At 39.0% G+C, this 27,235-nt stretch overlaps 1 protein-coding gene and 2 pseudogenes across 7 annotated transcripts in view, besides 1 other annotated feature; 2 read left to right on the plus strand and 1 right to left on the minus strand.

Moving 5' to 3' along the window:
- The window catches only part of KATNAL1 (katanin catalytic subunit A1 like 1), a 104,922-nt gene that overhangs the window by 67,310 nt on the left and 10,377 nt on the right, over window positions 1-27,235 (minus strand). For 5 of the 7 annotated variants that reach the window (NM_032116.5, NM_001014380.3, XM_024449424.2 and 2 more), the window contains exons 2-3: window positions 13,677-13,852; window positions 10,124-10,284 (exon numbers count right to left, since the gene is read on the minus strand). In NM_032116.5, coding sequence (NP_115492.1) covers window positions 10,124-10,284; window positions 13,677-13,838 — 323 coding nt within the window. In that variant the 5' untranslated portion in view covers window positions 13,839-13,852. Of the gene's footprint in view, window positions 1-10,123; window positions 10,285-13,676; window positions 13,853-13,969; window positions 26,273-27,235 lie in introns of those variants that run through there. The other 2 variants (XM_047430703.1, XM_047430704.1) reach the window with 2 other exon arrangements.
- RNU6-64P (RNA, U6 small nuclear 64, pseudogene) lies at window positions 11,826-11,930 on the plus strand (annotated as a pseudogene).
- Window positions 15,940-16,562: an enhancer, noted in NCBI's record as "NANOG-H3K27ac-H3K4me1 hESC enhancer chr13:30860016-30860638 (GRCh37/hg19 assembly coordinates)". NCBI's record gives its function as "activates a minimal SCP1, AML or CMV promoter by ChIP-STARR-seq in primed H9 embryonic stem cells {active_cell/tissue: H9 hESC(primed)}" and the evidence as "EXISTENCE:reporter gene assay evidence [ECO:0000049][PMID:30033119]".
- On the plus strand, window positions 26,136-27,048 carry PRDX2P1 (peroxiredoxin 2 pseudogene 1; annotated as a pseudogene).

Consider the following 27,235-nt stretch of genomic DNA (forward strand, 5'->3'; position numbering starts at 1 on the left):
GTGAGGGGCACCTCTGCCCGGCCACCCCTACTGGGAAGTGAGGAGCCCCTCTGCCCGGCCAGCCGCCCCGTCCGGGAGGGAGGTGGGGGTGTCAGCCCCCCGCCCGGCCAGCCGCCCCATCCGGGAGGGAGGTGGGGGGGGTCAGCCCCCCGCCCGGCCAGCCGCCCCGTCCGGGAGGTGAGGGGCGCCTCTGCCCGGCCGCCCCTACTGGGAAGTGAGGAGCCTCTCTGCCCAGCCAGCCGCCTCGTCCGGGAAGGAGGTGGGGGGTCAGCCCCCCGCCCGGCCAGCCGCCCCGTCCGGGAGGGAGGTTGGGGGGTCAGCCCCCCCGCCCGGCCAGCCACCCCGTCCAGGAGGGAGGTGGGGGGTCAGCCCCCCGCCCGGCCAGCCGCCCCACCCGGGAGGTGAGGGGCGCCTCTGCCCGGCCTCCCCTACTGGGAAGTGAGGAGCCCCTCTGCCCGGCCACCACCCCGTCTGGGAGGTGTACCCAACAGCTCATTGAGAACGGGCCATGATGACAATGGCGGTTTTGTGGAATAGAAAGCGGGGAAAGGTGGGGAAAAGATTGAGAAATCGGATGGTTGCCGTGTCTGTGTAGAAAGAGGTAGACATGGGAGACTTTTCATTTTGCTCTGTACTAAGAAAAATTCTTATCCTGTTGATCTGTGACCTTACCCCCAACCCTGTGCTCTCTGAAACATGTGCTGTGTCCACTCAGGGTTAAATGGATTAAGGGCGGTGCAAGATGTGCTTTGTTAAACAGATGCTTGAAGGCAGCATGCTCCTTAAGAGTCATCACCACTCCCTAATCTCAAGTACCCAGGGACACAAACACTGCGGAAGGCCGCAGGGTCCTCTGCCTAGGAAAACCAGAGACCTTTGTTCACTTGTTTATCTGCTGACCTTCCCTCCACTATTGTCCTATGACCCTGCCAAATCCCCCTCTGCGAGAAACACCCAAGAATGATCAATAAACAAAAAATAATAAAATAAAAAAAAAAAAAGAAAAATAAAGCTGACTAAGGGAACAAGAGTGGTGACAGTGAAGGGGTAAATACTTTAAATAAGGTGGTCAGGGTAGGGCTTTCTATGTGAGTGACATTTGAACAAATGAGGTGAGGGCATTTGCCATGTGAACATCAAGTGGGGTGGAAGTAAGGGATAGGCAATGAAAATGGCAAACACATCCTGAGCTCTTCCTATGTGTCCAGATGTTCTTCACACTTTACATGGGTTAAATCATTTAATTCTCATAATAACCCTACGAAGTAATTTTCATACTGATCCCCAACTTATAGAGGAGGAAAATGAGGGACAGGTTGAATGATTTGTCCTCAGAGAAGCCATGTGGTAGGGCTAGGACAAGAACCTGTTCTTGCACTGCTATAAAGAAATACCTGAGACTGGGTAATTTACAAAGAAAAGAAGTGTAATTGGTTCACAGTTCAGCAGGCTGTACAGGAAACTGGCATCTGCTCAGCTTCTGGAGAGGCCTCAGGAAACTTACAATCATGGCAGAAGGTGAAGGGGAAGAAGACACATCACATGGCCAGAGCAGCAAGAGGTTGGGGGGTGCGGGCGGAAGGTCAGGGAGGTGCTACACACTTTTTAACAACCAGATCTCTTGAGAACCCTATCATGAGAACAGCACCAAAGGGGGAAATCCACCCCCATGATCTAATCACCTTCCACCAGGCCCCTCCACCAACATTAGAGATTACAATTCAACATGAGATGTAGGCAGGGACATAGATCCAAACTATATCAGAACCCTTGTAGCCTGGTGGATTGTCAAGTTCTGTGCAAAGAAAACATGAGCTCCTGGAGGGTAAGGACCTTCTTTCTACTGCTCTTTGGCTCCATAGGGCTCACAAAGCTAAGGACTAGGGAGCAACAAGTGGAAGAGATAAAAGAAGCTGCAGTCAGAATAAAAGAAAAGAGGAAAAAAAAAAAAAAAAAAAAAACAGAGTTGTGTAATGTCACAGAAGCCTTAGGAGGGAAAAAGAGAGTTCCAAAGAAGATGGTCAACATTATCAAGTATTATGAAGGTTAAACAATGTAAGTCCAGAGAAGAGGCATTTTCATTATTAAGTGAGGAAGTTATTTGGTATTTTCAAGAATTCAGTCCTAATACTGCAATGACTGAAGAGCAGCAGGATTTCTTGTAATTAAGAAAAAAGGGGCCGGGAGCAGTGGCTCATGCCTATAATCCCAGCACTTTGGGAGGCCGAGGCGGGCAGATCATGAGGTCAGGAGTTCGAGATCAGCCTGACTGACATGGTGAAACCCCGTCTCTACTAAAAATACAAAAATTAGCCAGGTGTGGTGGCTCACGCCTGTAATCCCAGCTACTCAGGAGGCTGAGGCAGGAGAATTGCTTGAACCCAGGAGGCGGAGGTTGCAGTGAGCTGAGATTGCGCCACTGCACTTCAGCCTGGGCGACACAGCAAGACTTGGTCTCAAAAAAAAGAAAGAAAAAAAGAAAAAAGGGGCAGTGAAGGGCAACAAATGTATACTACACCTTAAACAGCAGTTTGCAAGGAAGAGGGGAGATGACAATCACTAACATGCAGCAAGGCAAAGATCTTTTCAACAAAAATGTAAAAGTAACGTGTTATGGCTTCATTCTGACTTACCACTATCTTGTTCCCACTACTTAATCTTTAATGAATTATAATTTCTGTCTTTCAGTTGCCTTTTCTGTAACATTAAAAAAAAAGACAGAAATGCCAAGTTTTTAGGCACTTATTGTATTACATACCTAGAACTGGAGAATGGAAACTTAAGAGTGACCACTGAGTTCTATAAAATAATATAAACGCTCGCCAGAGAAATCTTACATAAAAGGAACAATAAAATAAAATAACCAAATGGAACGTCCTCCCACCCTTGGAACACACTGGATCAGAATTTAGACCCTGAAAAACACCCTCTGTTCTCAATCTCAGATAGTCTTGCTTACATTTTTCTCCTTGCTGAAATGATTGCATAAGCGCTCACCTCTATATCTGCCCACCTCTCTACAACCACACCCTTACATACCCCTGCCTCCCTACTGTGACTCTGAGCCAGCTGCCCATGCACTCCCTCTACATGTGCATTAGATCCCATCTCCTCTTGTCACCTCAAGGGCATTGCTCCAGCAGTTGTCCATCTAGCCCATGCATCATCAACTTTCCTCTTTCTACTGCAGCATTCCCATCAGCACACAAACATCCTGTTATTCCTTTCTCTCTAAAACAACAAACCTCAACTACTTGTCTTCCCCAGCTAGCATTCACTTTCCTGGCTCCCTTTTTCAGCCAGACTCATTGAGGGAGCTGTGCATACTTATCATCTTCTGCTCCTCTCTCTGCGTTCTCTGAACCCATTCCATCATTCTCTACCATTTCACCAAAACTGTGCAACAAGGCCACCAGTGATCTCCTGCTGCTAAATCCATGCCAATTCTCAATCCTTATCCTATCTGACCTACACTCATTTGATAAAGTAACTTAGAATCTTTAAGCCTCAGTGTCGTCTTCTAAAAAATAGGGATGGTAACAATAGTACCTATTTTAAGGATGGCTATGAAGATTTAAAAAGAAACCACGTAAAAGCACAATACCTGGTTCACAGTTAAGAACTCACTAAATGTCAGTTATTAGTGTGCTTAATCAGCCCTGCTACTTACATTCTACTCAGTCTAAAAATAGGGTCCATCCCATACTTCAGAAACAGAATTTTAGAAGATAATATGACTCCAGAATTTTAAGAAAATGAGTATAATCTCAATCTGCCAATAGTATTAGGCAAATAACCTATTCCATCATATAAAGAATGAACTTAAAATTTCTTTGTCATTAGTTCCTGATGATTCTGAAATAACTACACGAATCCTAATCTCTCTCAAAGTCTGGTTCTCATTTCTAACTCCTATTCAACAGCTTGATCTAGATATTATCTGCTCCAATTTTTCTCTCATTCTGTGTATCTCATTAATCACCAAATCCAGTCCATTCTAACTCAGTAATGGCTCTCACACCCATCTACAAAATCGTAAGCCTAAGAGAGCAGGGAACATGTCTATTTCTGCATCCCACCGTATGTGGGACGGCACCAGGCACAATACTAGGCATCCAGAGGCCAGCATCCTACAAAGCAATCTCACTTCAATATACATTTTACAGAAAGGAAAATGAGGTATACAGAAAGGAACTTGCAGGATCACTAAATTAGTAGTGGAACTGATAGAAAAACTTGCTCCCCAACCTTCTAATCCCAGGAAAATAACTGAGCCAGAGCCTGGGTGAAATACCTGTATGTATGAATGATAGTTTATTCTCTATCAGTACTTGACTTTGACCTTAATTGATCTTTTCACTGCAATTTGGGATGTAAAATACTGCCAGTTAATCTCTCTGAGTACCCAAAGAAACATAAGACAACAACTTTAATACCAAGTCAATAAAAATTTCCTCTTTGCTGAAATTCTACAGAATAGCACTAATTTGATCTTAAAAAAAAATCAATCTTCCTATCTATATGTATACAGAAACACAGTATACCATTGCCCTTGGTTCTTGAGAAGGCCTATTAGAGTTTTAGCACACCTATACAGAAGAAATAAAATAATTTCAGGCTTGTGTGTCCTGTTCTTACTGCTACCTCTCCCAAAAGATGTAACTTTGAAAGACCTACCACTTGGAATAAATTGGTACTACATATCCATTATAAAGAACAGTATGGAGAGTCCTCAAAAAATTAAATAGAACTACCTTATGATCCAGCAATCCCACTTCTGAGCATACAGCCAAAGAAAATGAAATCAGTGTGTCAGATCTCTGCACTCTCATGTTCATTTCAGCATTACTGTAATAGCCAAATATGGAAACAAACTAAACATACATTGACAGATGAATGGATAAAGAAAATGTGTGCATATATGTTGGGGGCGGGGTGTGTGCACACACATACGCGCGCGCGCGCGCGCACACACACACACACACACACACACACACACACACACACACACACAGGAATATTATTCAACCTTAAGAGAAGGAAATCCTACCATTTCCTTGTGGCAGGTGAAACAGGCCAGATACAGAAAGACACATACTACGTGATCTGACTGTGTTAGTCTGTTTTTGTTTTTTGTTTGTTTTTGTTTTGCATTGCTATACAGAAATACCTGAGGATGGGTAATTTATAAATAGAGGTTTACTTGACTCATAGTTCTGCAGGCTGTACAAGCACAACACCAACATCTGCTTGGCTTATGGTGAGACCTCAGGAAGCTTACAACCATGGCAGAAGGCAAAGGGGGAAGCCAGCATATCACATGGCAAAAGAGTGAGCAAGAGAGGTTGCGGGGGCAGTGCTGCACTCTTGTAAACAATCAGATCTCATGTGAACTGAGCAAGAACTCATTCATTACCAAGGAAATGGTACTAAGCCATTCATGAGGAATCTGTCCCCATGATCCTGTATCTCCCACCAGGCCCCATCTCCAACAATGGAGGTCACATTTCAACATGGGATTAATGGGACAAACATCAAAACCATATTACTCACTTATATGTGAAATATAAAAAGAGTCAAACTCATAGAAAGAGAGTAGAGTGGTTATTACCAGGGGCTAGGGGAGAAGAAAATGGGGTGATATTGGTCAAAGGGTACAAAGTTTCAGTCATGCAAGATAAGTTCTAGATATCTAATGTACAGCAAGGTGACTGTAGTTAACAATACTGTATACCTGAATCTGCTAAGAGGGTAGATCTTAAGTGTTCTCACCACAAAATGAAAAACAAAAGAAATGTGAGGTAATTGATATGCTAATTAGCTTATTGTGATAAATATTTCAAAAAATATATATATATATCAAATAATCAACCTGTATACCTTAAATATATACAATTTTTAATTGTCAATTATACCTCAATAAAGTTGGGGGAAAAAAGGACCTACCATATTTATTTTTTAAGCTAAATAAAGAATAGCTTATTGAATATATACCATGTTGAATACTGCTGCAATATAGAAAATACTACTTTCATGGCTTCAGGTATTACTGGAAGAAACCAACTCATTAAAGAAAATGTAGTTAATAAGCCTACATGTAAACTATTATAAAATCATTTCGTTAATACAAGAAATATTTTAGGACACCAAGAATGAGCTAGAGACTTCATCTCTTTGGAGTTTAATTCTAAAATTTCCACTACCTACCACCACGATCCTACTTTTGTAGCTCAGTTTCCTCACATTTAAGGCAATCAATCAAAATTTTAAAATATTATTTTGATTTATCCAAGCAACTGCTGGTGATTTAAACCTTAATTATGATTAAACTCAGCAGATGCATGACACAGAAGTAGAACTTCAAACAATGTGGCAAAACCACCGATGGAAAACCACAGTACACAGATTACCTTGGTAGTCAGCAATAGGAATGGAGAAGTGTGTGTTAAAAGTCAATGAAGTGAAAAGAACAGAACCATAAACAGAGCTACCAAATTAGTGGCTAATGCCAATCACATCAGAAGCATCTCTGAAATGCTTTGTATAAAACAGGGTAAATTACAAGGTGAGAGATGGCAAAAAAAAAAAAAAAGAAAAAACAAAACAAGATGAAGTAAATATTATATTTTCCTATTGACTTAAATTGTAATTTCAGTGTGGTACTTGCTTAGAAAGTTCTTTTTAGTTACCTTTAAAATATCAAAATTTCATTAAGCATTTTCAGTTTCTTTATTCTTCCACCACTAGTAAGAATGTTAACAAGTAGATAATACCAGGATATACAGACGTGTATCAAAATATACCCATAACATACCCACTGAGTATATATGCAAAAGTAATATAGCAGAGTGCATACAAATAAGACTCCTGAAGATGAAAGAGACTTGGGTTCAAATCCTGGCTCTGCTACTTTCTTGTTCAGATGACTTTGGAAAAATTACAAACTATAAGCTTCAGTTTCCTCTACTGTAAATGGGGTTCATAATAATAAATTAGTGATGATAATATGCATATACAATAACAGTACCTAAACTTCATGGGATCACTTGAGTTTTAAATAAAATAATGCATATAACACATACAGGAAGTGACTAATAATTATTAGCTATCATCCTTTCCCTGAAAATAATCACCAACTGCTTAAGACTTGGACATTTAAAAAGCCATATCCTCTCTGCAGAGTTATTGAAATGTTTCAGGAAACTAAGGAATTATGAAGAATCTGCAGGGAGAAAATAAAATGACTTGTTTTATGAATGAGGCTATCATTTTTAACTGTTATTCTTGCTATTTCTCTGAAAGAATGCTGTAGTCCTTTATTTCAGAGGTGACCATTAATTTTAATTACTTATTACATGCCAGTTGCTGTCTTAATTTTTTTTATTCAATTCCATGAAGTAGAGATCCCCATTTTACAGATAGTGAGACTAATGTTTAGAGAGGTTAAATAGCTTGCTCAAGGTCACAAAGCAAGTAGGTTTCAGAAGCAGAATTCACAATCTCATCAACTCAAGTCAAACGTCTTTCCATTAAACCAAGAATATCCAATGACTGTTATCTAACATTCACTATCGCTAAGTGAAAATCTTATTATATTTGTTTTATGTGACCTGGAGAAGAAACGAAGTTTATAAAACAAGAAAAATATTATTATACAACTCTAACCTTCCATAACCTTTAAGTCTAAATTTGCAATCTGAATATTTATTTTATCAGCCCTTGCATACATTCTGTGCCACAAACCAGCATAAGATTTAATTCAGGCCGGGCACGGTGGCTCACGCCTGTAATCCCAGCACTTTGGGAGGCCGAGGCGGGCGGATCACGAGGTCAGGAGATCGAGACCATCCCGGCTAAAACGGTGAAACCCCGTCTCTACTAAAAATACAAAAAATTAGCCGGGCGTAGTGGCGGGCGCCTGTAGTCCCAGCTACTTGGGAGGCTGAGGCAGGAGAATGGCGTGAACCCGGGAGGCGGAGCTTGCAGTGAGCCGAGATTGCGCCACTGCACTCCAGCCTGGGGGACAGAGCGAGACTCCGTCTCAAAAAAAAAAAAAAAAAAAAAAAAAAAAAGATTTAATTCATTAACATTTGCCTTATATTGTTAATTGATGAAGGACCCACTGTTGTTGCTTACATAGAAACTTTATTCATAAAGTTTTAAACTATTAATCCCATGCTATTACTCAATGTATTATATTTCCTTCTCTAGTAGAACCTTGTGGAGTTGTTGTTTTCTTATTGTTGTTGATGGTATACATGGGAATGAAAATCTTTTTTTTTCCAGACAATATACAATCTGAGATTTGCTTTTATTCAGGGTTTCTGATCCAAAGAGGAAAAAAAAAACACACATACAATGGCTATGCACAAAGAAAACTTTTTTAAAAATTTAGTACAAAGAAAGGAGAATCAGAGAAATACATTCTGGTCCATTCATCTTTCACTTTCATTTAGAAAAGGGATTTAAAAACAAGTACAAAAATAAGTCAGATCTATGTTATGAACAGTTAAGAAAGGACAAAGAAAAGAAAATAACTGGACTAGTGTCACTGTAGTGATATGTTTTGAGATTAGTAGTCATCAATGGGAAAATGTCATCCACAACTTTTTATTCAGTTTGAGCCATCAATGTTAGTTATTATCTGCGGACACTGCTGTTTGAAATGAATCATGGTGCTCTAGCAATTCAGAGCAGATAGTCCTATATTTGAAGTTATTATCAGCTCTTAGGTTTAAACTAGAAGTATATTTCAGAATTAATGACTTTCAGTAAAAAACAAGGTATTTCATTGTACATACATACAGGAAAATTTCAAGTTATAGTAGGCTAAAATGTCATTCTTTCTTTCAGTATTTATTTTGGAACTTCCATGGTAACACTGTATGACTCTTAAAACACTGCCTTTTGAGGGATATGGGTTACCCTAGTATAAAACACCTGAAGGTGGTTACATCAGAGGAAAAATACATTGTTGTAGACCTTAAAAAAGAATCCTCATCTACTGTTTTCACAATGAAAATCACAAAATTATCTGTAATTCAGTGGAAAAAATCCAAAGGAATAAATTAAATGCTTTTCATAGTTCTTAAAATGTTTTTAGAAAATTTCAACAGATGATTACAGTTACTGGCCAAAGGAAAACGTATTTTCTACGGTGCAATACTCTGGCCATAATAAAGCAGACAGAAAGCCAGAAAGACCTAAACTCACATCCTGATCTAGCATGATTAGGGCCTCTCAGGCTTCAGTTTCCTTGTGAAACTAATGGTGTTAACTCATTCAATGTTGGTTGAATGCCTACTACGTGCCAAACCCTGCGTTAGCAATGAAAGTTTATTATTTAATTTTTAAGTAAATAAAACCATGGTCCTTGTCCTTGCAAATCTTTTGAAGCAACAAATAAATGCAACATGATAACCACTATGAACAAACTGCTATGTCTGGGCAAATCAAAAGAGGCTGCAGAGGGGATAGTCAGTTGAGTTGAGACTTGAATGAATATGAGTTGTTTGGAGATGGGGATTATGGGTATTCCTTGAAGAAAGAAGAGACTGCACAGACAAGATGACCAAAAAAAGGCAAAAAGAGAGAGGTTTAACGTAAATGATGCACAGGCTGGGTATTAGAGAAAACTGGTGGGAGATGCCACACTGAGGAATGTAACCTTTAAGTAATAAGCCTCTTAAACATTATCGGTAAGGTTCCTTCTACACTAAAACTCTGGAAATTGACTGTAGGCCCAACTAGGAAAATTCAATTTCTCCACTACTTCATTTGAAGTTGTTAGAGTCTCCTCAAGCAAAAAAGCAAAACTATCCAAGTTTTGATGCTGCCATTACGAAACCCAAAAGACCTCTCTTAACTGATAAATTTTAGGACTAGCAATAGGCATCTATTGTTATTAGCGTAATAAAGCATTCTAAAAGCAAGATATGTAACAAGTCATTTACTTCTGTACTTTATCAAATACAAAACTGTAAATGTATAAATGTGAATATTAAAAACAGATACTGAAATTACATGTCCCCAAAAATAATTTTTCATACTTTGTTCAAAACATGCTTCACTGTGAACATCAATTAACTAGAAGCACCTAAAGAGAATATAAAGTCCTATTTACCTGTGTTCTGCAGGAACAGGGGGTGGCCAAACAGCAGGATCTCTAAATGGTTCATCTTGACAGGACACAGGGAAATCTGGAGGCTTGTCAATTTTAAAACTTTCTAAAGTGCTGACAATACTTTTAACTTGTTCATATTCCTCCAATAATTCCTGCCGAACCTTAAAAAAAAAAAATAGGCTTTATGCTAGAAGCTGTTTAAATACTTCATAAATTGTAAATAATAAATTACTATAGAGTGCACGTTTTCTTAATGTCAAAGGGTGAAAAATGAATCATTAAAACATTCATAAATACAAAGAACTATTTCAAGTAATACTGAGAAAAGGGTAGAAATTAGTTTGAAAAAATCATAATTCTATACCTTTTAATAAGTAGTTATATATCTTTCATAACGGAATTCCATTTCTACCAAAGAACGTGATGATCATTAATACAATTTAAAACAAGCAACTAAGTAGGTAACAAGTTAAACATTCCAAGAAATCTAAAATATTGTGCTAAATACTTTTAATATATTTATAAATAGATTCCCAAAAATTAAGCCAAAATTTTCAACAGCATTTCCTATTCCCAATATCACTAAATATAAAACGCCTGTCATGAGTGTCTGAAAGCTAGAAGCAGTATTATACTATGAATTACAAACTTCCAGTTTTTATTTAAATTCTCCTTCACCTGAAATCTGAATTATTTTTGCCTTATTTAAATTATTTTGAGTTCTGAGTAAAGTTTATTTTGATTTCAAAGACAAGATTTTTCCTGTATTTAAAAAATTTAACTGAACACATACTATGAGGAAATTCTTGTGTTTGCAAACTTTGAGCCCAAACTAATTTTCCAAAGCAAACAGATAAAGATTAAAAATTACATTCAAGACCAGCCTGGGGAAACAAAAAAATTAGTCCAGGCATGACAGCATGAGTCTGTAGTCCTAGTGCGAGTCTATAGTCCTAGCTACTCAGGAGGCTGAGGCAGAAGGATCACTTGAGCCCAGGAGTTCGAGGCTACAATCACGCTCCTGCACTCCAGCCTGGGCAACAGAGCAAGAATCCATGTCAAAAAAAAAAAAAAAGAAAAGAAAAGAAAATTACAATTATAAATTCATTTTAACAATTCTTTTTTTTTTAACCAGAAAGCACGTCACACTGTAAAGCAGAGTATAAGAAATTTTCCCTCATCTTTATATTGAATGATATATTAAAAGGAACATATGAAGGAGTTACAGATCCAAAGAAAAAGCTAGGTAAAATTCAACAGCTAATACATGCAATTACAGAATATGCTATAGTGGAAGAAATGTAATTTCAGAACCCAGTGGAAAGAAACATAGTAGAAATGTCTGAGTAGAAATGGTCACTATTTAACACACACAATTCAGAATATATAAAAAACATTTCCATAATAGATTAATAAAATACCCTGCCTGTGGCTAATAGGAAGGATAGAAGAAAACAACTAAAAATTTGAGCCTGAGTTGGAGCAAGTATATTGTTCTCAATCAATATAACTTGGTAACATTTAAGTTGGAAAATAAGTCAAATTTACCCTCAAAACTTAGGAAAACATCAATTTCTGACTAATGGAAAAATTAGAAGAAACACTTGAAAGGCATTAGTACATAAAATGGAAACTTCAAAGAAACACTTGACTTTGTACTTTTAATTTTTAGAAGATTTTAAATTTTAACACTAAGTGGGGAGTGTCTGCATTGGCAGCACATACACTAAAATTGGAATAACACAGAGAAGACCAGCATGTTCCCTGCACGAGATGCACACAAACTCCTGGAGTGTTCTGTATTTTTTTTACTTAACGTTTTCTAAAAAGGATGTTACGTTGTTTTAGTATAACAGGTGAAAAACACGAGCTTAAATAATAAGTCCTTATAAAACAAAAGCCAATTTTGTTTAAACATCATTGAAGATGCTTTTATTTCCTTAAAGATATATTGCTTATAAGTATTATTTGTAAAAAAAAAAAAAATTCTTTTTTAAAAGTTACAATTAATTTGGAATTAGAACAGCAAAGCAAGAACTATGCTAAAAGGTACTGATCAATTAAAACATTAAATTTAAAAAACGGTAAGTAGGCAAATTAAAATTCAAGTTTTTAACTGTCTTATTAAATAATCAAATTATATAGTCAAAAGACAGCAAATATAGTAATGTTTTTTATTAGATTACTGACTCATTTGTATTTTTAAGGAGTCTTTCAAAAGAGTTTTGCAAAATGGGTCAAAACAACATGTAAATATGAAAGGGAAAAGGGCAAGTATGAATACTTTATTTCAGGTCCAGCACAGTGGCTCACACATGTAATACCAGTGCTTTGAGAGGCCAAGGCAGGAGGATCACTGGAAGCCAGGAGTTTGAGACCACCCTGGGCAACATAGCAAGACTCAGTCCTTACAAAAAATTTAAAAATTTGCTGGACATGGTGGTGTGAACCTGTCCCCCTAGCTACTTGGGAAGCTGAGATGGGAAGATCGCTTGAGCCCAGGAGTTTGAGGCTGCAGTGAGCTGTGATGGCACCACTGCACTCTAGCCTGGGTGACAGAGCAAAACCCTGTCTCTTTAAAAAAAAAAAAAAGAAAGAAAGAAAGAAAGAGGCCTGGCGTGGTGGCTCATGCTTGTAATCCCAGCACTTTGGGAGGCCGAGGCAGGCGGATCACGAGGTCAGGAGATCGAGACCATCCTGGCTAACACGGTGAAACCCCATCTCTACTAAAAAATAGAAAAAATTAGCCAGGCGTGGTGGTGGGCGCATGTAGTCCCAGCTACTCGGGAGGCTGAGGCAGGAGAATGGCGTGAACCCGGGAGGTGGAGCTTACAGTGAGCCGAGATCGCGCCACTGCACTCCAGCCTGGGAAACAGAGTAAGACTCCGTCTCAAAAAAAAAAAGAAAAAAAAAAAAGAAAAAATGGGCCAGGTACAGCGGCTCACGCTTGTAATCCCAGCACTTTGGGAGGCTGAGGTGGGTGGATCACTAGGTCAGGAATTCAAGACCAGCCTGGCCAACATGGTGAAACCCTGTTTCTACTAAAAACACAAAAATTAACTGGGCGTGGTGGCACATGCCTGTAGTCCCAGCTACTCCGGAGGCTGAGGAGGAGAACTGCTTGAACCTGGGAGGCAGAGGTTGCAGTGAGCCGAGATTGCGCCACTGCACTCCGGCCTGGGCGACAGAACAAGACTCTGTCTCAAAAAAAAAAAAAAAAAAAAAAAAAGGAATGAATGAATGAAATACTTTATTTCAAAAGTTTGCAGTCACACAATTAGGTAACTGATCATGAAAAGAGAAAAAAGTTAAAGTAGATTCAATTGGAATTAAATATTTTCAAAACATCCCTCACGAAATATATGATCAAAAAACATTAACCAGGTAAGATACTAGAAAATTATTCAAGAGTATATTTTAAATGTATTTCAGTATTGAGATAAATAGGCACTATTTCCATCTCAAACTCAAAATTAGATTTTCCAACTCTAATCTCTCAAGTATAATAGGGTACTGCCATCCTAACTCATCTAATACTTTAATACCATCTTACCTGTTGCCATTTGCCTTTGATAGCTGGATCTCTGACTGACTGGCAATGTCTCTGAATCTGCTGCATCACCCCCTGGTAATATACCATTGATGAGTCGTAATTTCCAAGAAGGGCATATTCTCTTCCTTTCTTTGCATTATCACAAATCTCAGCCAAATTCATCTTCTTTCAGAGACCTAAACATAAAATATAATGACTTTTTAAAAATTTTCAGCACTGACTTTAAAACATTTATTATTCTTTAAAATATGTTTAAAACTACTTTTTTTTTTTTTTTTGAAACAGAGACTCACTTTATTGCCCAGATTGGAGTGCAGCAGCATGATCTTGACTCACTGCAACCTCCACCTCCCAGGTTCAAGTGATTCCTGAGTAGCTGCAACTATAGGGGTGCACCACCATGCCCGGCTAATTTTTGTATTTTTAGTAGAGATGGGTTTCACTGTGTTGGCCAGGCTGGTCTTGAACTCCTGTCCTTAGGTGATCCACCCACCTAAGCCTCCCAAAGTGCTGGGATTACAGGCGTGAGCCACTGCGCCCAGTCTAGAACTACTTTGAAAGTCAAAATAGTTACCATTCTTTGAGGTTATCTGAATGCATCTTACAACACTAAACAACGTTTTCAAATTTGGAAGTACAAAGGAGATTACAAAAGAACACCCACGGAAATAATAGGGAGAAAGGTTACACAGCTCTGAACTACTGATTTACTTACAGGTACATAAAACCGGACACTAGTTTTCCTTATTCCTTTATAATTACCATAGGCTGCAATAACAGATGAAATTTTTTTTTATTCAATTTATTCTTGACAATATAAAAAATATGAATATCACATAAATATATGAATATATTTTCTACTGAAGTCAGTTGAAACTATAAAAACTAGTTATCACTAAAACTTCTTGGCCCCAAGAATAAAAAGTTATACTTAAAGAATACATTTTAAAGAACAGTCTATAGTTGTCCATGTACCATTTATACTCATGTAATTGCCTCAAACTTAAATCTAAGCAAACACCTATAAATTACACTCTCTGAACCCCAATTTGTAATCTTCTAAGACCCCATCATTCTCTATATCTTTTTGGCCATGCAAATAACTATTGTTATTTTCCTTTCTATAAGATGTTAGTTAGAATACCCTCTAGATTTCTGGCTTCCACCAAAGCTCTCCAGTCCAGTAATTCTGGCTTTTCTTCCAGGCTTTCCAAAAGTCTCCTAGAATCATCCAAGGCTTCTATGCAAAGATACTTTCCTCCCAAGACTAAAAAGAATAGCAAGTCCAGAGTTACAGGAGAATGATATCCTGAGAAAGTGTCAAAATTGCCTTCTGATTTCCAGGAACAGTAAACCAATGAATACACATAAAGAAGAAAATCAAAATACTACTCTATGCCTTCTTCAGGGAATTAAACTTTGGTTTGGGGAGCCTGACTCTTCTACTCTGACTCTCAATCTCTTATCTGTTCTTCAGGGACTCAAAAATTCTTCCTGAAAATTAACCATCACTAGTTCTAGGCATTTCAAAGGACTCCAACACATTTTTAAAAACAAATGTTTATGTGTTTGGCATGTTATTTTCCTCTTATAAGGTTCCATGAAGGCAGAGTTGTATTACTTGAGAATCACACTGCAACAAATAGTACACTACTAATACGGGTTGGCTCTGTGTCCCCACCCAAATCTCACCTTAAATTGTAATAATCACCACGTGTCAAGGGCAGGACCACGTGGTGGTAACGGATCAAGGGGACAGTTTCCTCCATGCTGTTCTTGTGATAATGAGTAAGTCTCATGAGATCTGATGGTTTTATAAGCATCTGGTATTCCCCCTGCTGGCATGCATTCTCTCTCCTGCTGCCCTGTGAAGAGGTGCCTTCCCCCATGATTCTAAGTTTTCTGAGCCTCCCCAGCCATGCAGAACTGGGAGTCAATTAAACCTCTTTTCTTTATAAATTACCCAGTCTCAAGTTTTTCTTCACAGCAGTGTGAGAAAGGACTAATACAGTAGACTAGTACCAGGAGTGGTGTGCTGCTACAAGGATACCTGAAAATGTGGAAGTGACTTTGGAACTGGGTAGCAGGCAGAGGTTGGAACAGTTTGGAGGGCTCAGAAGAACACAGAAAAATGTGGGAAACTCTGGAACTTCCTAGAGACTTGCTGAATGGTTTTGACCAAAATGATGATAGTGATATGGACAATGAAGTTCAAGCTGAGGTGGTTGCAGATGAAGAAGAACTTGTCCTTGCTGTGCTTTGGCAAAGAGACTGGCAGCATTTTGTCCCTGCCCTAGAGATTTGTGGAACTTTGAACTTGAGAGAGGTGTTTATGGTATCTGGCAGAATAAATTTCTAAGCAGCAAAGTGTTCAAGAGGTGATTTGGAAGGGGGGATTGCTCTTAAAAGCATACAGTTTTAAGCATTCACAAAGATATGGTTTGGAATTGGAATTTATGTTTAAAAGGGAAGCAGTGAATAGAGGTTTAGAAAATGTGTAGCCTGACAATGCAATAGAAAAGAAAAACCCATTTTCTGGGGAGAAATTCAAGCCAGCTGCAGAAATTTGCATAAGTAACAAGGAATCAAAAGCTAATCACCAAGACAATGGGGAAAATGCCTCCAGGGCATGTCAGAGATGTCGGCAACCCCTCCCATCACAAGCCCAGAGGCCTAAGAGGGAAAAATGGGTTTCCTGGGCTGGGTCCAGGGCCCCTCTGCTGTGTGCAGCCTCGGGACTTGGTGCTCTGCACCCAGCCACTCCAGCCATGGCTAAAAGGGGCCAAGGTACAACTCAGGCCATGGCTTCAGAGGGTACAAGCCCCAAGTTTTGGCAGCTTCCACATGGTGCTGGGCCTGCAAGTGCACAGGATGAGAACTGAGGTTTGGGAACCTCCACCTAGATTTCAGAGGATGTATGGAAATGCCTGGAGGTCCAGGCAGAAGTCTGCTGCAGGGGCAGGACCCTCATGGAGAACCTCTGCTAGGGAAGTGTGGAAGGGAAATGTGTGGCTGGAACTTCCACTGAGTCCCCACTAGGGCACTGCCTAGTGGAGCTGTAAGAAGAGGGCCACCATCCTACAGATCCCGGAATGGTAGATCCACTGACAGCTTGCATTATGCATCTGGAAAAGCCACAGACACTCAAGGTCAGCTGTGAAAGCAGCCAGAAGGTGGGGATGTACCCTGCAAAGCCACAGGGGTGGAGCTGCCCAAGGCCATGGGAACCTACCTCTGACATCAGTGTGACCTGGATGTCAGACGTGGAGTCAAAGGAGATAATTTTGGAAGTTTAAGGTTTAATGACTGCCCGATTGGATTTCAGAACTGCATGGCCTATATCCCTTTGTTTTAGCCAATTTCTCCCATTTGGAACAGGTATATTTACCCAATGCTTATACTCCCCTTATATCTAGAAAGTAACTAACTTGCTTTTGAAGCAGGCTCATAGGTGGAAGGAACTTGCCTTGTCTCAGATGAGACTTTGGATTTGGACTTTTGAGTCTGGAATGGGTTAAGACTTTGGGGGACGGTTGGAAAGGAATGATTTGCAATGTGAGGACATAAGATTTGGGAAGGGCCACAGGCAGGATGATATGGTTTGGCTCTGTGTTCCCACCCAAATCTCACCTTGAATTGTAATAATCACATGTCAAGGGCAGGAGCACATGGAGGTGACTGGATCATGGGGGTGGTTCCCCCATGCTGTTCTCATGATAATGTGTGAGTCTCATGAGATCTGATGGGTTTATAAGCATCTGCCATTTCCCCTGCTGGCATTCATTCTCTCTCCTGCAGCCCTGTGAAGAGGTGCCTTCCGCCATGATTGTAAGTTTCCTGCGGCCTCCCCAACCATGCAGAACTGTGAGTCACTTAAACCTCTTTTCTTTATAAATTACCCAGTCTCAGGTATTTCTTCATAGCAGCATGAGAATGGACTAATACAACTACTTTTACACAGTAACAAATTTCAATGTCCAGTGGATCTATCCACAGAATACAGGACAACCACACAAAGTGTCATCTTCAAATTTAGAACATTAACACGAAACAATATGGCCTTATTATAATGAATAATATGTAATTAATAAATCCAGTAGAAACAAAGATGCTCTATAAATTATTTCCCTTTAAAGTCATTGTGAAACAAAAGCATAAATCCTACTTACAAATACAGACACAAAACTATAAAAGATAAAAATATCCTGATACAAATCAGGGGTTGCCAAACTTTTCCTGTAAAAGACCTAACAAGTAAATATTTTAGGCTTTGACAGCTAACAAACAAAATGAAGGATATTATATAACTACTTATATAATGAGACAAAAAATTCCATAATTCTTATCGATGCAATTCAAAATATTATAGAAACAATAACAGAGTACAACTTTCTGTAAGACAGGTTGACTAAGGAGAAGAATGAAACTCTTTTTAGGGACAATATTTCACTTAGTTGGGATTCAAAGTTAGTATTCCCTATCATCAAAATCAATCACAAATGTTCATACATTCTAATGTTTACCTTGAATACAATACATTTCATGTTTGAAAATGTCTACTTTTCAAAGTAGGTTAGGTGCTACTTTATACTGATAGTAGTCACAAGCATATGATTTCAATTCAGCATAATCATTGTTTGGAAGGCATCTAAAGGATTTACTCTTAGTATTTACGTGCCATTATTTGCAGATTAATCATTCCAATTAAAGGTTAAATAAGAAGTGCCTCAACTGCACAGTTAAATGGAAATTTCCTTGGCACTTACATCGAGTTCTAAAAAATGCTGCTGAAACTGTAGTTTGAACTCAGAAAACATACCTATTGCAAACTGGGTAGGAATGGAGACCTTACTTCTTTGCTTTAACTTATAACAGCATGGAAAGCTATATAAAATTACTTGATATTACTTGTGATTCAAAGAATAGTGGTTGCCATTGAAATAACTTTACTGCAGTATTAGTTTTGATATAACAACTGTTTTGTCTTGTAATTTTAGGTTGAATTCATTAAGAAATACTATTGAGTCTGCATCACAAATTGATTTCTAAAGCCATTCAGCGTTCAATATTCAGATTGACAGCAGTTTCTCACATTCAGAAAAATTTCAATCTCACTTCTAAATTCAAAAGTTTGCAATAAAGCCTTACAACTATTAAACCATCAAATTGCTGTACAGCAGGGCAAGTGAGAATATTCAGCTTCTATTTCTGACAAAAATTCCTAGAACTGACAATGGTTAAGTCCACAAGAGCAAATGTTGACACTACTGGTTCAAGATTACATGATAGATTCAAACATTCTCTGCAAAATACCTGCTAAGAAATAAAATAAGTAACTGTAGACTTCAAACTTCTTACACTTTCACAGCTTTATTTGTCCACCTGAATTCTTTTCTATTCTATACAAATTTTTACTACCATCAGTTATAACACATCTTAGCAGACTACACTTCATTCAGGTTGCATGCCATTAGTGTTTTCTCAACTTTTTGAAATATTCTTATCTTTAGCTATTCTACACACACTATTCATTAAGATTATTTAACACTTCAAACTCAGCCTTGACTTTTCAAATAAACAACTGAGCAGTATTGGTAACATCTGTCAACTCATCAAAAGCCAAGGAAAACCACTCAAAATAATTTGCCTTTTTAATTGATTATTGATGTCCTCAATTCTTTGAGCAACTCTTCTTGCCAAAAGACTAACAGTCTTAAGTTTACCTTCTCCAGACACAATTCTGCGCCTGTTGTAACCAACACAATTTAGTTACTTCACTATTGATAAATGACTTCCTTGCTTGGTTAACAAATGAGCCACTTGGAAGTTTACTCTGGGTGCAGCCTGATTTTTATTTTCTAATTTTGTAAAGAAATTCTACTGGAATAAGATATTCCTTTTTATGTTTTCTCATTTTTCTGACCATTACTTTCCTGTGAGTTGGGAATATTGTGATGAATGCAGAGTCTGGTAATATCAGTGTATATTGTATTTAACACAGCTATAGTATCACTGCATAATACAATGCCTTGTCATAACTCAATAATCCATGCTTCAGCATGCTTTAAAAGTATAACATTCCAAGTCTATTTTTTTCATCTTTTCTTGTTTTGACATGATGTGTATGCATTGATAATAAAGTAAAATGTCACAGCACAGTGATATGCATGGCACTTAAAACAGTGATTACAGTTCAGAAACAGCAGTGCAAAAGCAATGAGAATGCCACATGGTTTCTGTCACAACCCCTCAACTTTGCCATTCCAGCACAAAAGCAGCCAGAGACAATTTGTAAACAACTAAGTGTGGTTGTGTTCCAATAAAACCTTATATGTGGACAATGAAATCTGAATTTCATTTAATTTCCACATGTCACAAAATAGTATTCTTCTTTTGATTTTTCTTCAACCTTATAAAAATGCAAAAATCATTCCTGATTCATGAGCCATTCAAGAACAAGTGGCAAGCTGGATTTGGCCCCTGGACTGCAGTTTGCCGACTCTTGCTTTCAGCTTCTATCTTAAGAATCTAGCAAGGGAAGCAAATTAAAACCAAAAGAAGCAGAAGGAACAATGTAATAAAGTTGAGGGAAGAAATCAATGAAATAGAAAACAGAAAAACAAGAGAAAATTTCAATGTAGCCAAAAGCAGGTTCTTCACAAATATCAATAAAATGAATAAACCTCTAGTAGGATTGACCAGGAAAGAGAGAAAAAAAAAAATACACATTACCAAAACAAAAAATGAAGGAGGGCTATCACTACAAACCTTGGAGCTACTGAAAGACAAAAGAGAGTTTAATGAAATGGACAAATTCTATGATGGTCACACACCAAAGCTTGCCCAAGAAGAGACAGAGTAGTTAATCGGAATACTCCTTTATCAATTAATGAAATTGAATACAGAAGAGGTAGAAATATTTCCAACTCTTTTTTTTTCCTTTTTTTGCCATAGTTCTTTTGGCTATCCAACTCATATTTTAAAGCCAGTGTTAGCCTTACACCAAAATCAGACAAAGATCTTATCAGAAAATTACAATATCAATATCCCTTAAAAACATAGATACAAAAAATCTTTAAATTTTAGCTAATCAAATCCAGCAATATGTAAAATAGATAATGTATTATGACCCAGTGACGAAATAGATAATGTATTATGACCCAGTGACGTTTTCCCCAAGAATTCAAGATGGTTTATTTTAAAACCAATCAATACAATTTTAAGAGAATAAAAATGAAACATTATAAATCATCTCAATAGATACAGAAAATGTATTTGACAAAATTCAACATAATTCATAAGAATGCTTAGCAAACTAAGAATAAAAGGCAATTTACTCAACCGAGTAATGGACATCTATGAAATACCTACGGCTAGCATATGTATTGTGAAAGACTAAATGCTCTCCAAGATCAAGAACAAGACAAGGATATTTGCTCTCACCCCTTCTATTCCACATTAGAACTGAGGTTCTAACCAGTGCAATAAGGCGATACAAAAATAAAAGGCATGCAGATTGGAAAAGAAGTAAAGCTGCTTTTATTTACAGAAAACATGATTGTCAGTGGAGAAAATCCTAGGGAATCTGCAAATAGCTCCAGAACTAATAAACGAGTTGTGTAAGGTTGCAGCATAAGAGGTCAGTGTACAAAAATCAATCTTATTTCCACATACAAGAAATAACTGGAAACTAAAAAGAGTAAAATCATCCAAAAAATATTAAATATTCAGGGATAAATTTAACAAAATATGTGCAAGATCTGTAACCTGAGAACTATTAAAATCTAAGAGAATTAAAGATGACCTAAATTAATAGATATGTGTGTATGTGTTTATGAATAAAAACACTCAATATGCGTAAGATGTCAAATTATCTTGAAAGTGACCCATAGAGTCAATGGAATCCCAATCAAAATCCCAGCAGCCTTTTTAGGAAAAATTGACAAGCTGATTCTAAAACTTACATGGAAATGAAAGAACACAAAATAGACAAAAGTTCTGAAAAACAATAAAGTAGGACTTACTAACACAGATGTATTCAGGTGGGGTACTTCTAAGGGGTTGAGGGGAAAAATGCCTGTTGGGGGTGGATGTCTACTACATGATTTTAAAATTTACTATAAAGTTACAGTAATCATGGCCGGGCACGGTGACTCATGCCTGTAATCCCAGCACTTTGGGAAGCCGAGGAGAGTGGATCACCTAAGGTTGAGAGTTCAAGACCAGCCTGACCAACATGAAGAAACCTCGTCTCTACTAAAAATATAAAACTAGCCGGGTGCGGTGGGGCATGCCTGTAATCCCAGCTACTCGGGAGGCTGAGGCAGGAGAACTGCTTTGACCTGGAAGGAGGAGGTTGCAGTGAGCCGAGATCGCGCCACTGCACTCCAGCCAAGGCAACAAGAGCGAAACTCCATCTCAAAAAAAAATAAAGTTACGGTAATCAAGACAGTGTGGAACTGACATAAAGGCAGACACAAAGATCAGTGAAAGAAACTAGAGAGTCAAGAAACAGATTCATACATACAAAGCCAACTAATTTTCAACCAAAGTGCCAGAGCAATTCAATGAGGGAAGGACAATTTTTTCCAGCAAAAGGGTCCTGAAACAAAGTGGCTATCCATATGCAAAACAAAAACTGAATCTCAACCCTTACTTCACATCACATACAAAAATTAACTCAAATGGATTACTGACCTAAATGTAAGAGTTAAAACTATAAAGCTTCCAGAAGACAACCTAACCCAAGGTATTTTTTTTTTTTCCATCAGTTCCCCAAGCCCCAATTCCCATGGGGCAATTTGAAAAGGGCCATGTAACACCTGCAAAGGAAGTAGTCTGCATTACAGGAGAGGAGGCCTAAGCTTAGAGAACCTGAATCTATTAAGTTTTATGCTTCCCTACCCCTTGTTCCAAAGGGAGATACTGTATCTTCCAAGGCTGTAAGCAAACCTGACCTTTGCTCTGGAGAAAGACACTATCTCTTTCTACCCTCCAAGGCTGTTCAACTTGGTACCTCCCTTCATCCTGGGGAGCCCTTCTGCCTCCTCTATGCTGTCCTTTTTTTATGTATCACATGTCTTTCTCTTTCTTTTTTCACTCTCTTACCTTTATGGAGCACATTTTCTACAGTTGGGAGAAAAAATTTTTGCAACTGTGCATGTCTGTAAATACCTTTATTCTACCCTCATACTTCCATGAGAATTTGCCTGGCTACTGAATCTTAGTTTGGAAATAATTTTCCTTGAGAATTTTTATGGCATTTCCCTAATACATTTTAGGTTTCAATATTAGGTTAAGAAGACTGAAGTCATTTAAATTCCTAATTCGTTATATATCACTTGTTTTTCCCCTTTTCTGGAAACTTCTCTTTGACATGAGTTTTCTAAAATTTTTGATGATATGCTTTGAAATGGGTCTATCTGGGGTTCTTTCAATGTAGAAATTAATGTCTTTCCATTTTAGGAAATATTCTGAATTATTAAAATTTCTTTCCTGAATTTCATTAAAAATTTCTTTCCATTTTTTTTCTGCTGTGAAATGCCTTTTATCCAGGAATTAGACTTCCTCAGCTGGTCCTCTAATTTTCTTAGTTTTTCCCTCCTTTTTTCCACCTCTCTGTCCTTTTGCTCTACTTTCTTGGAGATGTTCTCAACTTTATATTATAATCCTTCTTTAGAACTTTTTCCTTTTTTATTGAGGTATATAACTTAAAGTGCACAAGTCTTAAGTGTGCAGCTCAATGACCTTTTACACTGTGCACATACACTGTGTACACCCCGGCAACACCCCTTCAAAATACAGAACACTTCCAACTCCCCAGAAGGATCCTTCATCCCTCCCAGTCAGTACTTTAATCACTATTCTGATACCACAGATGAATTCTGCCTGCTTTTTAAAAATCAGCTTTATTGAGGTATAATTTTCATACAATTAATTCCACTAATTTTAAGTGTACAGTTGATGAGTTTTGAAAACTTTATAAACTGCATAACCACCACTACCACCACAACAAAGGTAAAGAACATTTCCATCACCCCAGAAAACTCCCTTTTGCCACTTTGTATTTGACCTCCAACTCTCACCATGCACTCTCCTGTTCCCTTCTCCCTACACAGGCCCACCTCAGTTTACCGCGCCTCATTTTACTGCACTTCGCAGACACCATTTTTTACAATTTGAAGATTCATGGCAACTGTGCATCCAGCAAGTCTACCGGTGCCATTTTTCTAACAGCATGTGCTCACTTTGTGTCTCTATGTCACATTTTGGTAATTCTCACAATATTCCAAACTTCTCCATTTTTATTATATCTGTTAATAGTGATCAGTGATGTTACTGTTGTAATTGTATTGGGGCACCACAAACCATGCCCTATAGCAAGGTGAATATAATTGATAAATACTGTGTTCTGACTGCCCTACCAATAGGCTGTTGCCCTCTCTCTCTCTTCTCCTCGGGCCTCCTTTTCCCGGAGACACAATACTGAAATTAGGCCAATGAAGAACCCTACAATAGCCTCTAAGTGTTCAAGTGAAAGGGAATAGTTGCATGTCTCTCACTTGAAATCAAGGGCCAGAAATGACTAAGCTTAGCAAGCAAGGCATGTTGAAAGCTAAGATAGGGCAAGAGGTAGATCTCTCGTGCCAAAGAGCCAAGTTGTAAATGCAAAGAAGAAGTTCTTGAAAGAAATTAAAAGTGCTACTCCAGTGAACATATGAATGATGAGAAAGCAAAACAGCCTTATTGCTGATATGGAGAAAGTGTGAGTGGTCTGGACAGAAGATTAAACCAGCCACAATATTCCCTTAAGCCAAAGCCTAATCCAGAACAAGACCCTAATTGTCTTCAATTCTATGAAGGCTGAAAGAGGTGAGGATGCTGCAGAAGTATGAAGCAAGTAGAGACTGGTTTATGAGGTTTAAGGAAAGAAGCCTTTTCCATAACACAAAAGTGCAAGGTGAAGCAGCAAGTGCTAATGTAGAAGCTGCAGCAAGTTGTCTAGAACTAGCTAAGATCATTGATGAAGGTGGCTACACTAAACAACAGATTTTCAATGTAGACAAAATAGCCTTCTATTGGAAAAATATTTCATCTAAGACTTTCCTGGCTAGAGAGGAAAAGTGAATGCCTGGGTTCAAAGCCTTAAAGGACAGGCTGGCTCTCGTGTCAGGGGCTGATTTAGCTGACGACTTGAAGTTGAAGCCAATGCTCATTTACTAATATGAAGATCCTAGGGCCCTTAAGAGTTATGCTGAAGCTACTCTGCCTGTGCTCTGTAAATGGAATAGCAAAGTCTAGATGACAGCACATCTGTTTACAGTATGGCTTACTGAATATTTTAAGCCCAACTTTGAGAGCTATGGCTCAGAAAAAAAGATTCCTTTAAAAATATTGCCACTCACTGACAATGCACCTGGTCACCAAAGAGCTCTGATGTAGATGTACAAAGAGATAAATGCTGTTTTCATGCCTGCTTATCCATTCTGCAGGCCATGGATAAAGGAGTTATTTCAACTTTCAAATCTTATTATTTAAGAAATACATTTTTTAAGGCTATAGGTGCCATAGATAGTGATTTCCTTTGATGAAACTGGGCAAAGTAAATTGAACACTTTCTGGAACAGAGTCACCCTTCTAGATGCCAGTAAGAACATTTGTGATTCAAGGGAGGATGTCAAAACATTAACACTAACAGGAGTGTTACAGAAATTGATTCCAGTCCTCATGGATGACTCTGAGGGTTTCAAGACTTTATTGGAGGAAATCACTGCAGATGTGGTAGAAAAAGCAAGAGAACTAGCATTAGAAGTGGAGCTTGTAGATGTGACTGAATTGCTGCAATCTCATGACAAAACATAAACGGGGTAGGGCACAGTGGCTCACACCCGTAATCTCAACATTTCGGGAGGCCAAGGCAAAAGGATCACTTAAGACCAGGAGTTCAAGACCAGCCTGGGCAACACAGCAAGACCCCATCTCTACAAAAAATTAAAAAAAAAACTTGAATGGATGAGTTGTTTCTTATGCATGAGCAAAGAAAGTGGCTTCTTGAGCTGCAATCTACTCCTGGTGAAGATGCTTGTGAACACTGTTGAAATAACAATAAAGGATTTAGATTACTACATAATCCTAGTTGATAAAGCAGCAGCAGGGTTTGGAGAGGATTGACTCCAATTGTGAAAGAATTGCTACTGTGGGTAAAATGCTATCAAACAGTATAATTGCATGCTATGGAGAAATTTTTCACAAAAGGAAGAGTCAATACGTCCACCAAACTTTGTTGTTATTTTAAGAATTGCCCTGGGCCAGGCACATTGGGTCATGCCAGTAATCCCAACACTTTGGGAGGCCAAGGCAGGAGTATCACTTGAGGCTAGAAGTTCAAGACCAGCCTGGGCAACATAGCAAGATGCCAATTCTAAAAAAAAAAAAAAAAAAATTTTAATTAGTCACATGGGCACTGAGAACGCGGGTCCACGCACGTGATCGTCCGTGCATCTAGCCTTTGCCCACACAGCTTGTTCAGTCATGGCCTCAGGTAATGCGTGCATGGGAAAGCCTGCCCCTAACTTCAAGGCCACATCCATGGTGGATGGCGCCTTCAAAGAGGTGAAGCTGTCAGACTACAAAGGGAAGTACGTGGTCCTCTTTTTCTACCCTCTGGACTTCACTTTTGTGTGCCCCACGGAGATCACTGCAGTCAGCAGCCATGCCGAGGACTTCCGCAAGCTGGGCTGCGAAGTGCTGGGCATCTTGGTGGACTCTCAGTTCACCCACCTGGCTTGGATTAACATCCCCCGGAAGGAGGGAGGCTTGGGCCCCCTGAACATCCCCCTGCTTGCTAATGTGGCAATCTGAGGATTACGGTGAGCTGAAAACAGATGAGTGCATTGCCTACTGGGGCCTCTTTATCATTGATGGCAAGGGTGTCCTTTGCCAGATCACTGTTAATGATTTGCCTGTGGGACGCTCATTGGATGAGGCTCTGCAGCTGGTCCAGACCATCCAGTACACGGACGAGCACAGGGAAGTTTGTCCTGCTGGCTGGAAGCTTGGCAGTGACACAATTAAGCTCAACGTGGATGACGGCGAGGAATATTTCTCCAAACAAAATTAGGCTGGCCAATGGATAGTGAGCTTGTGCCCCTACCTAGGTGCCTGTGCTGGGTGCTCACCTGTGCCCCTACCTAGGTGCCCTGTGCTGACCCAGGAAAGGCCAGACCTGCCCCTCCAAACACCACAGTCTGGGACCCTGGAGGGCTAGGCCAAGGCCTTCTCATGCCTCCTCCTGGGAGCTGAATAGTGACGCCCACTCCCGAGCCCGCCCAGCAGCACACAGGCCTAGAGGTGACCAATAAAGTATTAGGGACAAGAAAAAAAAAATTAGTCACATGTGGTCCTAGCTACTCAAGAGGCTGGGGCGGGATGATCGCTTGAGTCTGAGAGTTTGAGGCTGCAGTAAGTTATGATCACACCACTACGCTCCAGCCCTCCAGCCTGGGTGACAGAGTGAGACCCTGCCTCTAAAAAAAAAAAAAAAGAAAAAAGAAAAGAAG

Source organism: Homo sapiens, chromosome 13 (genome assembly GCF_000001405.40).
Source record: "Homo sapiens chromosome 13, GRCh38.p14 Primary Assembly".
Lineage (NCBI taxonomy): Eukaryota > Metazoa > Chordata > Mammalia > Primates > Hominidae > Homo > Homo sapiens.